The sequence below is a fragment of the Homo sapiens genome, chromosome 5, assembly GCF_000001405.40.
Source record: "Homo sapiens chromosome 5, GRCh38.p14 Primary Assembly".
In the NCBI taxonomy this organism is placed as follows: Eukaryota; Metazoa; Chordata; class Mammalia; order Primates; family Hominidae; genus Homo; species Homo sapiens.
This window is the reverse complement of record NC_000005.10, coordinates 55176333-55194103: the sequence shown is the minus strand read 5'-3', so window position 1 is coordinate 55194103 and position 17771 is coordinate 55176333. Positions and strand designations below refer to the sequence as shown.

Below are 17771 nucleotides of genomic sequence, written 5' to 3'. Positions count from 1 at the left end.
CTGTCACCCAGGCTGGAGTGCAGCGGCATGATCTCGGCTCACTACAACCTGTGCCTCCTAGGTTCAAGCGATTCTCTTGCCTCAGCCTTCCTAGTAGCTGGGATTACAGGCATGCGCCACCATGCCCGGCTTATTTTCGTATTTTTAGTAGAGACCGGGTTTCTCCATGTAGGCCAGGCTGGTCTTGAACTCCTGACCTCATGTGATCTGTCCCCCTCAACCTCCCAAAGTGTAGGGATTAATGGCGTGAGCCACCACGCCCTGCCCTAATTTTATCTTTTAAATAAAAGTATAGAATATCTCTATTATTACTATAGCCCAGGGCATCTTCAACTTGTAAAATGAATTCATGTGCAGAAACAGGTGGGCATTTGGTCATTTTCAGATTCAAAAATGGAATTGGGCAAAGAACTGTAAAAAACAGAATTAGATTAGGACAGCTGATGCAAACCAGGGAAGTCTCCTGCCCTACTCCTATGTCTTCCCCCAAATCTTTTCATTTCACTTAGATACATGGTCTGACCTTCCTTTGATTAGAGAATAATTTGGGTTAATAAGTAGCCTCATTTACAATATGTTTTTTTCCTATTATATCAGTTGTAAGTGTTCATTAATTTAGTTTTAGAAAATGAGAATTACCTGTAGTTTTACCTTCCAAATATTCCATTGTTCATACTTTGGTGGATTTATTCTGCTTTTTTATAACCTTTGGTTTAATTTTTCTCATAGTTATAATCATCCAGTTCATAGCATTTGACTCCTTTATTCCACTTATTCAACATGAACTCCCTCCCCATGAATAAGCAGCTTCTTTGATGATTTCTGGGATGAATATAGGACAGTGTAGCATTCAGGATTCAGTGCAATTTTGATATGCTGGGTTGCTTTCCTGCTTCTACCTACCCAAGGTCATATGCATTTGTTTATTTATTTGACAGGCACACTAAACAAGTCTGTGCCTGAAGTCAGGGAAAGTAGAGTCCCTGGCCCTGAGGAGCTCACAGTCTGCTTGGGAAAAACTGTATCACCAAAAGGATGAGAGTTTTGACTAAAGGGAAGGGAGACGGGACACTTGGCCCCTGAAGTACTTTGGGAGACAGGACAAGTCGGGACAGAGCTGTGAAAAACATGACAATTCTATCCTCCAAGATAACAACAGAAAGGGGTCCAGAAGCAGAGGTGGGAGGGTGGCAAAAATAAATGATATATAAAGTTTTCGCTGGGGTGTTGAGCTCAGAGTCGCATGACCTATGGTGAGAGGTAGTGACTGGGAAAAGAGAATGAGGAAACTCTCTGGGGTGGTGGAAATGTTCTATGTCTTTATTTGGAAGATGATTACACAGGTGTATTCATATGAAAAATTCACCAGGCTATACACTTAAGATTAGTGCACTTTATGTATTTTATGCATCAGTAAAAAAGTCAAAGTATTTCCCCCTAGGGTTGGCCCTTTGCCCAAGGTAGGAGAGGTTTGAAAAAGTTCTGCTTCTCCTGCACTCTCCTATACTGCATTGCTCTGTTAATAGGACCTAGGACTCAGACTTGTGTTACTAATACCATGGCTCTGCTACATTATAGGTTAAAAAGGCTTTTGTGGACTAATTTCAGAAGTTAAGTACTACTTAAAATGAACTGTGTAGGAAAGTGCAATTGACTTACAAAAGAACATCAGGAGTATAATTCAACAAACAAGGAATAACTAATTTTACTGTGTACAAATGGTGCTTTGTGCTGAGAATGTCTCCAAGATGAAAGAGACCAGGATCCTAGTGTCAGGAACTTGATCTTTCCTAGGTTAGGGTCTTTCCCATATTATTATCAGTTCAAGTTTTGTTTGCCATGTTTTGGAAATAACCAAAACATAGTGTCTTTGAAAAAGATGCTGTTTTCATTCATTTTATGCTGCATTAACAGAATACTACAAACTGGGTAATTTATAAAGGGCAGAAATTTATTCTCTCACAGTTCTGAGGCTGGGGAAGTTCAAGATCAAGGTGCTAGTGGGTTTGGTCTCTGGCTCACAGGTGCCACTTTGGTTCTCTGTCTTTCAGAGAGGAAGAACATTGTGTCCTCACATGGCAAAAGAGAAGAGAGAGAGAGAGAGAGCTCACTGCCCCTGTAACCCCTTTTTAAAGCAGCATTAATCCGTTCATGAGGGTGGAGCCCTCATGCCCTAAACACCTCCCAAAAGGCCCCACCTCCCAATAACGTTGATTGAGGATTAAGTTTCCAGCACATGAATTTTGGGGACACATTTAAACCATAGCAGATGCTCAACATCATTAGCTATCAGGAAAACGCAAATCAAAACCACAGCAAGATACCACCTCATACTCACTGGAATGGCTACAATAAAGAGATAATTACAAGTGTTGACAAGATACAGGGAAATTAGAATCCTCATACACTGCTGGTGGGAAGACAAAATGGTGCCGCTACTTTGGAAAACAGCTTGGCAGTTCCATAACAGGTTGAACAGAATCACTACATGACCCAGCAATTTTACTACTAGGTATCTAGCCGAGAGAAATGAAAACATAAGTCCACAGAAAAGCTTTTGCACAATATTCATGGGAAGATTATTCATACTAGCCAAAAGGTGGAAACAACTAAAATCTTCATCAACTGATGGATAAATAAAATGTAGTATGTCCATACAGTAGAATGTTACTCAGCAATAAAAAGGAATGAAGTATTGGGTGCAGCACGAACGAACTTTGGAAACATTATGCTAAATGAGTCAGTCACAAAAGACCACATATTGCATAATTCTATTTATGTGAACTGTTGCAGAATAGACAAATTTATAGAGACAGAAAATAAATTAGTGGTTGCCTAGGGATAGGGAGAGGGGAGAATGGAGAGTGACTGCTAAAGGGTAAGGGGTTTCCTTTTAGGGTGATCAAAATATTCTAAAATTAATTGTGGTGGTGGTTGGATAACTATGAATGTACTAAAAATAATTAAAATGTACACTTTAAAAGTGTGAATTTTATGCTTTGTGAATTACATCTTAATAAAGCTGTTTAAAAAACCTAGTGCCTTTGAAGAAAGCGACAAGAAAACCTAGTTAACAGCAGCATTCAATAAAAAGTATCCGAGTGGTTAAGAGGTGCTCTGGCGCAGACCACTGGGTTTTCCTGCTAGGTCCGCCATCTACTAGCTGTGGGATGTAGGTATGTTATTAAGCCTCTCTGTGCCTCAGTTTCCTCTTTGGAAAATGAAGATACTGGCAGAAGCTACTTCATTCATAGGCACATGTACATAGGCTTTATGCATAACTGCATTAGTGAATGAGCCCATGTACATTCATGGGTAGAGTTTAATAAATGTTAGCTATTATTTGTAGAGTGCTCTAACATTTTTAAAGTACTCTTACACACATTTTCTCACTTGATAACACAAGTACTTGGGAAATTTTCATTCCTTCTGCCTCGGTAAAGTTTTGAGCAGCTTGTTTTTGGCCCTCGAAACCCTCCTCGTATTTGTTACTCTCTCTACCTCTCCTCCACTCCATAATACCCAGGGTTTATCATTATTTGATTCTTGCTTTTACCTAATTTCTGCTAAGATGCCAATAAATAACACTTAAAAATGGGACACAGCCAAGAAAACGTCCATGTTAAAAGAGAAATCTTAAAAACCAAAAGGGTCTGTAGAATCCAAAGGACTGGCAAATCTCCAATCACACCATTCAGGAGACAGCCCGTCCTTCTTACTCCATAGACTAGGTTCTGATTTTTGTGACGAGTAGCCTATGATGTAGCAGGTACATTTTGTTTTTTCTAAAATTAGCTTAAAAGTCCTAAAAATGGGCCCAGTGCGGCGGCTAACGCCTATAATCCCAGCACTTGGGGAGGCTGAGGCAGGCAGATCACGGGGTCAGGAGTTTGTGACCAGCCTGGCCAACATAGTGAAACCCCGTCTCTACTAAAAAATACAAAAATTAGCTGGGCATGGTGGCACGCACCTGTAGTCCCAGCTACTCAGGAGGCTGAGGCAGGAGAATCGCTGGAACCCGGGAGGTGGAAGTTGCAGCAAGCCAAGATTGCACCATTGCACTCCAGCCTGGGAAAGAAGAGTGAAACTCCATCTCAAAAAAAAAAAAAAAAAAAGTCCTAAGAATATAAGAATACTCTCATACACACAATTTATACTTCATTTCATAGATAAAATCTCTTATGCTAATAAACTGAGATTCTAAAATTTGCTTTAATTTTGATAATTATATTACAAGTGAAACATCTTATTTTTTTTCTTGCTACAAAATGAATAACTGCAAGCAAAAGTGTACATAAAACACCCATATTTCTCCCACTTAATGGGAACATCCAGGCTCCTTTGCGTATATATACAGACAAATATATACTTAAAATAAGAATTATAACCTGATATGTGCCTCCTTTTTCTTCTAATAGTATTTATGATTCTTTTATGATTTTTATTTCTGAAATATTTTAATGACTTGATTTCATTATATAGACGTGGAGTAATTTATTCAACCAATACCTCGTGGTTGGATATTTAACAAATATGCACTGGATCATTAACTTTCCCTACAATTATTTCAAAAGTGAAGAAAATGCGAGGAAACTAAAGGAAGTAAAGCATTTCTTCCCAAATTCAGCCTTTGGGCATTTATAATGGTGGTACAGTTTTGAGTTCTATAATCTAAGATAAATATTGAAACCTGAGGATTCAGAGGTGTACAGTAAACAAAGCATTGGGAAATAGGAATTGAAATTATTTAACCTTAAGAAGAGAAAGCTTAAGAATGGCTACATTTATGTTTATTTACATAGAAAGAATATCCTATAGGACCTTGTGTTTTCATGATATCACTCTCACAGTGTGTCAGTGTTAGGGTCATTATTGTGTATGTCTCCTCTTCCCATCTAGCCTGAGAGCTCCCAGAGGAAGTTATCTAATTGATCTATTTCCCCAGTCGTGTGTGCTGTTTAAAGAAAAAATGTTTTCTGAACTAAAGTTGATTATAATCACGACATTTCAAAAGAGGAGAGAGCAGACCGGGATAGTTTAGTCCTGCCTATAGTCACTATGCTCATTTTTGTAAACTTCTAAAGGGATTACCAGCCATGTGATTCTATCCATTTTACTAGTATGCTACTGTTTGTTTCTTCTTCTTATAAAGAAGAATTTAAGGGCTTTTCCTCACTGTCTTACTCTAGTAAATCAGGTCCTTGTGTATCCTATTACTAAAATGTAAACATAATTGTGTTGAAATTATGTCCCACTGGCTAAGTTGAACTGTATGAAATGTTAGCTAAATGCTTCTGTATTTACACAGGTATGTTTGCTTACTGGGTAAGCACAGTTGGAAGTGTTTCATTTAAATATGATGAGCTGAGAATTTGGCGGTGCAGCTGATGGGTAAGTTTTCCATAATAGTGATGCGATTCAAGTTTCTATTTTGTTTTGTTTTGCTTTTTACTCAACATTTAGGCGATAAAGTTGTAGAATCTCTATAGGAAAGTTGAGAATGATAGCACACTTTTGGCACACACCAAATTCATGTATTCAAATTATGTGGGCTCAACCTTTGAGGGATGTTTAAGATTTTAGCCTATTGAGCAGTAAGGTCACTGCAAACTTTTAGGTTGTTTGAGTCAAAACTTCCCACAGTTGATGACAAAATATTTTAGTTGGCTTGTGCCTTCCTAAACTAGATCTGATTCTGGTGAGGGTTGGTGGTATGTGTTTGTTAACAAAAAAACAGAAAATGTCCCAATTAGATCTTCATTTCTTCCTTTCTTTTCCTTTTCTTCTTTTTCTTCTTCTTCTTCTTCTTTTTTTTTGTAGCAGGTAACAAAATAAAAGCTCTTAGTCAAGTCTCTAGTTAATAAAGACAAACATCATATCTTGTCTCCCTATATGCTGTCCCAGAAGAAAAGCAGAGAAACAAGTTTATAAACTCTAAATTTTCCTAGCAAAATCATGTCAGTTGGAGTTGTGGGAATTAACTACTCTTTTAAAATAGTTCCTGCCTTCATTTTGCCACTGAAGTACAAAAATGCTATAAAGTATTTAAAGTGCTTAGTATTGTGGTTGAAAACAGCATTCAATAAATTTTAGCTGTTAGGTTTTTTTTTTTTAAAAAAGAAAACAACATCTTAATATAAAAACTCACTCAAAAAGTCAATGGGCCCAGTTAGTATAGACAATACATTTGATCTCAAAAAGGAAGGAAGAAGAATCAAAATGAAAGGAAAATAGCAATTTAAATTATCAAGGACATCAGAATAACTGAGATGTATATAATTTGTTTTTTTCTTTTTTTTGAGACAGGGTCGTGATCCTCTCACCTCAGCCTCCCAAGTAGCTGGGACTACAGGCATGTACCACTGCTCCTGGCTAATTTTTTTATTTAAATTTTTCGTAGACATGATGTCCCACTCTGTTGCCCAGGCTAGTCTTGATTCCTGGCTTCAAAACATCCTCCTGCCTTGGCCTCTCAAAGTGCTGGGATTACAGATGTGAGCCACCGTGCTTGGCCTATTTTGCATTTTTTTTTTTTTCAATCTGATAAAATAGGCCCACAATCCTGGATAATGTGAAGAGAGCTAATTACTTTCCATGTTCACAGTGCCACCTTCAGGAAAGAAAGTGTTCGTTTTAATTTAGTGCAAATGCATCTTTATTGGAGAAGGTTGGGCCAAGTACCTGAAGATCAGGTGTGTTAATGACGATGTTTAAGTTTGACTGTCATGAGCATGTTTACTCTGATTTCTGCCTGGTTGTGTTCAAAGCAGAAGACAAACTGCTAGCCTTTAAATTTTGAAATGGGGCATTAAAAATTTGATTAGAAATGAAATACATATAATTTCCTATTTATTCTGTTTTGCAACACCATACTTAGATCATCATATGTAAATTATGGAATTTTTATATATCTCCAAGAGGTTTAACAATCTCCTTTGATAATTGGTTCTTTTAACCAATCTTATAAGAAAATTATCCACTATATTGAATTAAAAATGGGACTAAACAATAAATTCTAGTGCTTGAAATAGTACCCAATGGATGAACAACTGGTATAGGAAGTCAGCATGGGTCAGATTAAACAACCTTGGGAAGAGGAGGGGAAGAGCTCCTAGAACTCTCTAGGGCTACATTGTCTTAGGTAGCCACTAGTTACATGTGGCTATTGAGCACTTGAGATGCAGATTAGTACAAATCGGGATTTGCTATAAATGTAGAACACACAAAGGATTTTAAAGACCTAATGCCAAAAAATCATAAAATATCTCAATATTTTTTATATTGATTATATGTGGAAATTATAATATTTCATATATGTTACATTAAATTAAATATATTATTTAAATTAATTTTACCTATTTATTTTAAATTTTCTTACTGTGGCTACTAGAAAGTTTGAAAGATTACTTACGTGGCTTGCATTATACTTCTATTGGGCAGTTATGCTCTAGGGCATACAAATTATAGTGGAAGCGGCCCCCATGATAATCATAGATTACTAAGCACATACCACGTGTCTGGTATTGTACTATGTGCTCTTAAGAAAGCTTTATGGCCAGATGCAGTGGCTCAAGCCTGTAATCCCAGCACTTTAGGAGGTAGAGGCTGGAGAATTGCTTGAGCCTAAGAGGTCGAGGCTGCAGTTAGTTATGATTACACCACTGTACTCCAGCTTGGATGACATTAGAGGCCAAGATTTGGGAGGAAGGTTCAGTGTGAATAGAAGTTTGAGATGCCTGGGAAGCCTACTGGTCTGGATTAGGTATGGATCACAGACACTATGCACCAGGTCGAGACTGCTTATGGAGTACAGTGTTAGAAGAAGCCCTCTGGCCGGGCGCGGTGGCTCACGCCTGTAATCCCAGCATTTTGGGAGGCCGAGGCGGGCAGATCACAAGGTCAGGAGATCGAGACCATCCTGGCTAACACGGTGAAACCCCCTCTCTACTAAAAATACAAAAAATTAGCCGGGCGCGGTGGTGGGCGCCTGTAGTCCCAGCTACTCCGGAGGCTGAAGCAGGAGAATGGCGTGAATCCGGGAGGTGGAGCTTGCAGTGAGCCGAGATCGCGCCACTGCACTCTAGCCTGGGCGACAGAGCGAGACTCCGGCTCAAAAAAAAAAAAAAAAAAAAGCCCTCTAGTGTTGAGCTGTAGCTGGTTTGTACCGTTCCACGAGCCAATTCGGCTCTTCTCTTCCCGACTCTGTTCAGTGATATAATGTTGGGAGCTTGAAATCAGCTATGGTAGGAGTATTTACACCACAGAAATTGTCAATTGCTTCAAATCAGGTCTTCCTCCTCCCGCCTAACCTGGTGCCCCAAAGCTGTTTTACCAGCATACCATTTAAAACTTAAACATTTCCAAAGCCTAACAAGAAGGATAAACCAGTAATGATTACTGAGAAGGAGGAAAACTGGGAATGTGTAGTGTTGATTTAAAAAACAGAAAAAATTTTAAGCAGGAAGAAGTGGTGAATTCCTCCTTTGGAGGAAGCAATATTCCTTTTCATCAAGGAAGATGATGAATTCCTTTAATATACTTGTGATGTTTCTCTGGACGAGATTCTTGATATCCATTATGAAGTATGACACTCAATTGTGATATGTACAGATAGGGTCTGTCTAGTACAAAGGAAGAAAAATCATTTCTCTCCTGAGCAATATTCCTTTTTCATCAAGTAAGATGAAAAATGAGACCTTTTGAAGGTAGCAATGGGGAAATGATGGTGAATAGATTGAGGATGAGCTAAAGTTAGGAAATTGAGATTGTGCATGTAGACAAATCTTTTGAGAATCTTAGCTGTGGAAAGGATAGCCTGGAACAATAGTTGGAGATTTGAAAACATTTAAATGCTTATTGGAAGAATCCAACAAAGAGGGAGAGCTTGCAGATGAGGAGAGATGGAGGGTACTACTACAGCATGGACCATGAGAAAATGGTAAAGTTCTTGGAGAAATTAACCTTAGGAGGAGGGATATCTTCTCTATTGCAGAGGAAGAAGTGCAGATGGATGGTGTTACAGGGTTGGTTGCCCAGAAGTCAGACTTGGGTTTATTTTCTTCAGATTTGCTTCCTAGTCTACAGCCATACCACCCTGAATGTGCCCAATCTCATCTGATCTCAGAAGCTAAGCAGGGTTGGGCCTGGTTAGTACTTGGATGAGAGATTTGCTTTCTAGTTAATATGATTTTTTCCTAGTTAATGTAATTTTTTTTTCTGACATGACCTTTAGATACTTTAATATACTTGTGAGGTTTCTCTGGATGAGATTCTCAATATCCATTATAAAGTATTATACTCAAGTGTAATATCTACAGTTAGGGTCTGTCCAGTACAAAGGAAGAAAAATCATTTCTCTTTTGGGGACATTACATTTCTATGAATAAAGTCTAAAATGTTTATGGTAGTTTTATCAACATCATCCTATTGACTCATACTAGCTTGCAGTAAATTAAAACTCCCAATTCTTTATTTTATGGTGGTCCTTTTATTTATTTTTTTTTTTGAGAAGGAGTCTAGCTCTGTCGCCATGTTGGAGTGCAGTGGCACAATCTTGGTTCACTGCAACCTTCACCTCCCGGATTCAAGCGATTCTCCTGCCTCAGCCTCCCGAGTAGCTGGGACTACAGGCGTGTGCCACCATGCCCAGCTACTTTTTGTATTTTTAGTAGAGATGGGGTTTCACCCTGTTGGCCAGAATGGTCTCGATCACTTGACCTCGTGATCCACCCGCCTTGGACTCCCAAAGTGCTGGGATTACAGGGGTGAGCCACTGCACCCAGCTGGTGGTCCTTTTTAATCATCACTTTTCACTCTCCACCATAAGCATCCTTTACTTGGAAGATATGATTTTTGTTAGTTTGTGAGTTTTTGCTTTTAGAATATGTATAGATTTTACATGTAGTCTAATGAAGTATTATTTTGGTAATTGATGTATTGTTATAAACTGTAGGGGTAATTTTGGATTTTGATACCATGGAATTAATGCTTACAGATATGTTGACTCTTTTTCAAATCTTTTGAGTATTTTAGATGACAGAAAGATATCTTAAAAGCAACTAATACAACTACAAAATACAAATGATAAGCCCATAATAGCTATTGGGCTAGTGAAGAAAGTCTTTAATAAGTGGACTCTGTAATAATACTGCCTTTACTTTTTCAAAGGTGAAATTTGAGATATTGATTATCCCAATCACTAATTGTTATTTGTTCAAATAAACTCTTTAAAATTTCATTGTGTCTCAGTTTTCCTTTTAACAAACTGGAGTGTGGGAAGAGAATCATTCACATAAGTCAAAAATTCTTAATTGTACTATATTTCTAGTAGCATTGAAATAAAAGTTACATTAGCGTTATGTTCTGAATGTTTAGATTCTCCCAAAATTCACATGTTGAAATCCTAACCCCCAAGGTGATAGTATTAGGAGGTGGGACCACTGAGAGATGATTAGGTCATGAGGGTGGAGCCCTCATGAATGGGATTAGTGCCCTTATAAAAGAGTCCCCTTGTCACTTCCACCATGTGAGGATGCAGCAAGAAGGCACCATCTAAGACCATGAAATGTCCTCACCAGACACTGAATCTGCTGGCAACTTGATCTTGGGCTTTCTGGGCTCCAGACTGTGAGAAAGATATTTCTGTTGTTCATAAACTACCCTGTTTATGGTATTTTGTTATAGTAGCATAAACAGACTAATTAGGCAAAGATTCTTTGAGAGCAAAATAAATGTTAATATTAAACTGCAATAAGCCATTTTGACCCCTATGAATCTCTTTACTCTTATTTTGTATTTTAGTTATGGATGCAGAAGTGATTAATAAGCACCAAAAGAAGCAGAGTTTTAGTTTAAATTTGTATTTATAGGCATTGCCCAATTTATTTAAATAATAAATTAACTGTCATCTCTTAAAATCAGAGCTAATTCCTAAGGTATCTTGAAAGTCACCCTTTTCATTGTAATAATAACACCAGCAACAGATGTTTATACATATGTGTGTGTATATATATATGTCATATATGCCTCTGTACATATTTACTTATATCATTTTTTAACAGAGTTAAAACCTGGAATCAACCAAAAAAGCAAAATATTTTCCCTGTAGATATGAACAATACAGTATTTCCAATTTACCTATAAAACCTTATTTCTTCGTATTAGTGATACACTGACACAAATACTTTCTACACTATTTGCAAGAAATGATACCACTTTCTTGTATAGAAGCTGCCACTATTATTGTGTACTGGTGTATGGGAACCCCAAATGGTCTAGCATCTTTTCTTTAAAGATTCAATTTGATGAGGATTGAGAAAGGATTAAATAAAATAAAAGGACTAAAATATAATGAAGTAATAGTGGCCTCTTTTGTACCTTAGAAAATCTGAAGACCACTATTCAACTCTGACTTATTTTAACTCTTGAGATTCATGTTGGAATCCTTGGCTATCCCTCTTTCACGAACCCCTCATATGACAGAGTTAGTCTCAGAACTTCATAACTATATGGGCCATTTAATCCCTGCAGGTGAGGAAACTTGCCTAAAGTCATATAGGAAAAGTTAGGGCTTCAGCTGGCCTACACTTGCTCCATTAAATTGCACTGAGCTGCCTCCTGCTGATGGGTCTAAATGAAAATAAATATAAAAGATAAAAAATAAAAATAAAAAAGTCAATAATAAATTGCACTGAGTTGATAAGTCAGAAGTTAGATTATAAAGCTTTTATGTTTGGCACATTACTAAGTACATTGTGGTCATTTAGCAAATATCCAATAATAGAATACGAAGACAATATGAAGAGTTAAAGAGAGAAAATTCATCCTTGGTCACTAAATTTAAAAATCCCAGGCTTGTGAGAATCTCTTGAGTATGTTTTTCTTTAAACAGTGTCCCATTTAAAAATAACTAAAAGAACATCATGCACTGACTTTTTTGACTTGAGGGGAAATTGTAGAATCATGAGGAAATGAAGGCATCTGTTCAGGGCAGTGCTGAAGCTCGTAAGTCTACTTACTAGTGTAAACACTTAAGTACCTGTGGGTTTATCTATTGTGGGCTATATACAGATCTGCTTCTCTTTTGATGCCTCCTGTCTAGTGTTTTATTGTTTCTTGGTGCATCCAAAAAAATAATGAACAAGATGAACAAGGGAGGAGGTAAAAGCAAAATTATACAAAAGATATCAACTGCATTTGGAATTCTGACAAATGATGGTAGAATGATGACATGGATGAAACTATTGCTTAAATGAGATTTCAGGATTGCTTCTATATAATATCTAAAGCAATTTTCCTCTATTAGCAGATAAGTGGGAACTGATTATATCATGGTATGTTGAATTGAATTTTCTCCCTACAATGTGTAATTCGGATGTTGATGTGGCAAAAGGAGAGAATTACATATAGAATAGTCTCTTGAAACATGGAGGGAACATCATCCACTGATGTACTCACATGGGGCAATGGCCCTCTGTGGTTGCATATAGAGCTCTGTAAATAGTCTGTGTGTCTTGGGGCTTTACAACGTAGTTCTGGAATATGGCACCAGTAAGCAGTGTATATGGCAAAGTTAGCATGGGCATTCTTACAGCAATTCAGCTGTTGTTTTCTTCTATCTTGACCCAAATATTTCATTCATTGGTCTTGAATACTGAAATAAAAATCAGAATACAGAACATGTGTGTAGAGTGTAAGAAGTTGCAGAAACACAACAAATTTTGATATGGTTCTTCCTTTTAAAAAACCATTTAAAAATAATGGTACAATTTACATAGAGTAAAATTTACTTGTTTTTAGTGAATAGTTTTATGAGTGTACAGTAATGCCTACAGTCCTATAACCACCCCACAATCAAGATATAGAACAGTTCCATCATTTAAAAAAATTCCCTATGCTCCTTTGTAGTTAGCTCCTCCCTGGCAATCATTTATCTATTTCCTGTCCCCATAGTTTTGTCTATTCCAGATTGTCCTATAAGTTGAACCATATAATATGTAGCCTTTTGAGTCTGGTTCTTTCAATGAGCATATTGCATTCCCAATACATCCATGATGTTGCTTGTATGAATAGTTCATTCTTTTGTGTTGTTGAATCCATTGTGTGGATTTACTATAGTTTGCTTGTTCATTCAACAGACGAAAGGCATTTTGGTGGATATGGGTTGTTTCCAGTTTTTAGTGATTGCTTCTTGCCTTTTACAAAGTTTTCTCTCAATTTCTTTTTACTTTTTATTTTTTTGAGATGGAGACTTGCTCTCACCTAGGATGGAGTGCAGTGGCACAATCTCGGCTTACTGCAACCTCCACCTCCTGGGTTCAAGTGATTCTTGTGCCTCAGCCTCCCGAGTAGCTGGGATTATAGGTGTGCACCACCACGCCTGGCTACTTTTTGTATTTTCAGTAGAGAAGGGATTTTGCCATGTTGGCCAGGCTGGTTTCGAATTCCTGACCTCAGGTGATCTGCCGGCCTTGGCCTCCCAAAGTGCTAAGATTACAGGCGTAAGCCACCGCTCCTGGCCTCAATTTCTTTTCCATCTGGTCTTCACAGCAACATATGAAATAGATATTATTAGTATTTTGCAGATGAGGAAGCTGAGGCTCTGGAAGGGAGTGTTAATGACTTGGCTAAGTTCACACAGCTAGTAGATGGAAAAGCCAGGATTCCAACAGGTTCTCTGACTCTAAAGCCTGTGTTCTTCCCACAGCTCTATGCTACAAAGAAGCAAAGGGGCAAGAGGGCGCATATTTTATGTCATTCTGAGTTTAGAGGAGATAAAAATCACTAAAAGTAAAATTCACTAGGGGCAGAAGCCCTAACATTTGTTTTGGAAGACACTCCTCCATGGTCTCTCATGTTCCTACATGTCTTGCTGGACATGCTAAGAATGTGAAATCTTGATGACTCTTTTATCTGGGCTCAGAATTGGTTTGCAGCATGCCATTTTACAGGTTGAGGTAATCTGGGACAAAGAGCAACCTTGCTTTTGCTTACTATAAAAGCAGAAGATTTATATCTAAAGTATCAGTAGTCCCTGGAAAACTTGGAAAAAGAAGGCATAAGAGCAATCATAAAATAAGTTAAAAAAGAACAAGTATTGATCTTTAAATTAGTCAACTTTTTTGTGTATGAGTTTATCTAAACTGTTTCTTCAACATTTCACCCTCTGGAAAGGAGCCCGGGTTTTAGGGCTTAAAACTCCAAATTGCCCCTTGGTGTTGCTCTGCTTCACTGCATGTTAAGCTCTAGAAAACTAACTTCTTATGTGTTCGTGGGTACTCTTTCTGTGGACTTTAGTGTTGCCATGATCAGACATGTTGAGAGGCTGATTGGCTGTGATTCCAGATAGCTTCCCAGTTGGGAAGTTCCATGCTGAGGTCACTCTGGTTGGTAATTCGTGAACTATAATGATACAGAGGTAGAAAGAATATTAGAGTTTCCTCTGTTTAATGTCTTCATTTTATAAGTAACCAGACTTCTGGGGAAGAGTAACTTGACCAAAATTATACTGCAAGTTAATGGCAGAGCAAGAATATCTGGTCCGGAGAGAACGCCATTGTTTAATTCACCACTCTGGTTCAAATCTACTTCTCCAGAACTATTATCAAGACATAGCAATCATTGGATACTGACTTACATTAACTAAGCTCGAGTCTGGTAGGTAAGCCAGAATCCAATTCACTTACCATTGGAGGTATGTAGCTATCTAGAATCAGGACCCTTCCCTTTCAGAAGCAAGTCTTCCCAGACTTAACCTTAAGTCATAAATCAAGTGGTTGCCTGGTGGGCACAGAATTGGAATACATTTAAATGCAAATGTTTATTCTCTGGTGACATAACCATCTAACTAGATTAGCCATATGGATTTCTCTTGATTTAGTATATTACTAGTTAAGGAACTGAGTTGGAGGTTTAGAATTCACTCATATTATATTTATTGACCACCTACTATGTGCCACGTACCTAGTATATGGCTCTGGACCTAAGGATAGTGTCTTCTGGAAGTGCTTTATAAAGACATATTTATTATCCAAATACTCATTTTACTTAGTCATCTAAGTTCCACCACTTCATTCTCAAAGAAAGAAATGTATACTTTTAGAAGCTTTGTATTTTCTCTCTTGATCCTCATCATAAATCTGTACAGTAGATAATAATTATCCTATTTTACAGTTGAGGAACCTGAGACTTCAAGGGGTAGAATAACATGTTTCAAGTTATACAATTAGCAGGTGTCAGGCCTAGGACCTGCATACTTTTTAACTCACATATTTCTTAAAACTGAGTTTATCACATTCCAAATATGGCATGTGAAAGTCTTTCTTTTGTGATTCTATATTGCCACTTCCATGATTTGGAAAATGTTCTAATCTCATCTACAAATTGGTTCACTGAACAAATTATTGATCACCAACCAAGTGCAAAACTTCCTATGCGCAAAGCACTGAGCCGATCTCTGAAGAGGAAATCAAGATGAAAAACACAAGATTCTTGTATTCTTGGAGCTTACAATATACTGGAGAATGTATGTAACACACACACAAAATCTGGAAGTAAGCAGACTAGAAGTACAAACAATATGGTATGGGAACAGAGGGAAGATAAAGAAATTCTAACTAGCACGATTTGATTTGAGAAGGCTCTTTGGAAAAGGTGGCTGAAATTTGAGAGTAAGAATTTGCCAGGAAGAGATAAGAAAAAAGACAATCCAAAAGTAAGGCAGCCTCAACAAAGACCTGAAGGCAAGAGAGTGCTAGTATCAAGTACATCTGAAGATAGGAGGTGTTGGTGGTGTTGTGGGAGATTATGAGAGAAAGGCAGAGAGAAGTTAAGTCCTAAAGGGGTTTTATGTGAATTAGAAACTTAGAACTTAATTCTAAGTGTTGAAAGGCCGGGCGCGGTGGCTCGCGCCTGTAATCCCAGCACTTTGGGAGGCCGAGGCGGGCGGATCACGAGGTCAGGAGATCGAGACCATCCTGGCTAACTCGGTGAAACCCAGTCTCTACTAAAAATACAAAAAATTAGCCGGGCGTGGTGGCGGGCGCCTGTAATCCCAGCTACTCTGGAGGCTGAGGCAGGAGAATGGCCTGAACCCGGGAGGCGGAGCTTGCCGTGAGCCAAGATCGCACCACTGCACTCCAGCCTGGGCGACAGAGCAAGACTCCGTCTCAAAACAAGAAAAGAAAAAAAAAGAAGGTTTTTCAAGGGACTTGGGGCAGGGGAGAAATATGATTAGCTTAAGATAAAGCTTATTGCCTTTTATGGCTTTATTATTGGATCTCTACTTCTTTGCATAGTGCATGACACTTGCTGGGTGCAAAGACATATGTTAAATGAACGGACTGGAGAAGGAATAGATGGAGATTATCAGGTTATCGTTATTGTTTAAGAAGAGGGCAGGTGTAATCAACACAGCAGAGGGGAAAATGTATTTGATAGGTGGATTTGGGCATATGGGGGAAGGGAAAGAGTTAAGGAAAGCTGACTTTGCCTCTGCTCCACCAGGAAGATGGTGATACTGGCAACGGCACACAGAGGGAGGAATAGATAGATGGTCTGGGCAGAATGGGAATAAGGAAAGATTCTCAATTCTGTTTTGGATTATGTTGCATTTGAAGTTCTGGAAGAATATCTAGTGAAAACAGATTTTCAGGTCTAGAGCATTCATGAACCAGCTTTTCTTTGAGAGGGGATCATTTTCATATGCCTGATTTCATCCATTGTTTTATACAGATTTGAATTAATTTCATTTTAAAATTTTCTTTGCATTGCCTTAAAATGGTAGAGAACTACCTTATTTGGGCAGTTACCCTATGCAAGAACGACCCTAAGGAGGATGTGAAAGGAAAAATGCCCTAAAGGAAATAAGTGGTTGGAAGTGATCTTAAGATTTTCATGCAGTGAAGCTGGGCAAACCTTTCCCTCTATCCTTGTTAATTTGGGTATGAATGGAGAAATAATTTTAAAGGACAGACCCTGTACTGTACTTAGAAATCAGGCAGTAATAGAAAAATATGCATATACACGAACCACTTGTAATCGAAAAAATAAGTAATAAGCCATGTAACCAGAGGTGATGTGCTACTTTATTGACCACTCTTCTGACTGAGGCTTTTACACTGCTGGAACCTTTGCAATTTAAATTTTTGGAGCCCTTTGTAAATTAAATTTTTGGATAGTCTGCATCAAGAGGGCTTCATTCGTCCATCCATGCTCTCGCTATACTGAGCGACGTTACACCGGGGAGCAGAGAGTTTATCAGTCTGGGACGATGTTTTTCCTTCCCTTTCTTTTTCTTCGTGGCTGACTTCCTTGCGCCACCTGAGTGCGGTTATCCTAAGCTCTCCCCTTCTGCAGTCTAACGCCTGCCCCGCACAGGCTGGAGCTGTATCAGCCCCCACTGGCGTGGCGCTTTCCCTCACACTCCCAGCTCGCGTTCCCCAACCCCTGCTGGGCGGGGAAGGCGTGCCCCAGGGACAGTTGGAGCAAACTCCCAACCGTCCCTTTGGCCCAGTAGGCGCGCGCAGGGGCTGCAGGGCGGCGCGCAGAAGCTAGGGGCGGGAGCGGGCGCGGGCGCGGGCGTAGCCAGGCGCGAGCGGGCTGAGGGCGAGGCACCAGCCTGGAGCAGGGCGGGGAGTAACCGCGGGCCGGAGGGGCGCGCAAACCTGCCGTTGGCGCTGGGAATGGGGAGCTCTCCGGTTTGCACTGCTCGGAAATTAGTTGAATACAGTGAATTAGAGAAAACAAGTTGAAAAATGATAAGTATAATGAGA

At 38.8% G+C, this 17771-nt stretch overlaps 1 annotated feature.

Annotated features, from left to right (window-relative positions):
- Window positions 5137-5337: a silencer, noted in NCBI's record as "peak5244 fragment used in MPRA reporter construct". NCBI's record gives its function as "represses an SCP1 promoter by STARR-seq MPRAs in K562 erythroleukemia cells {active_cell/tissue: K562}" and the evidence as "EXISTENCE:reporter gene assay evidence [ECO:0000049][PMID:32103011]".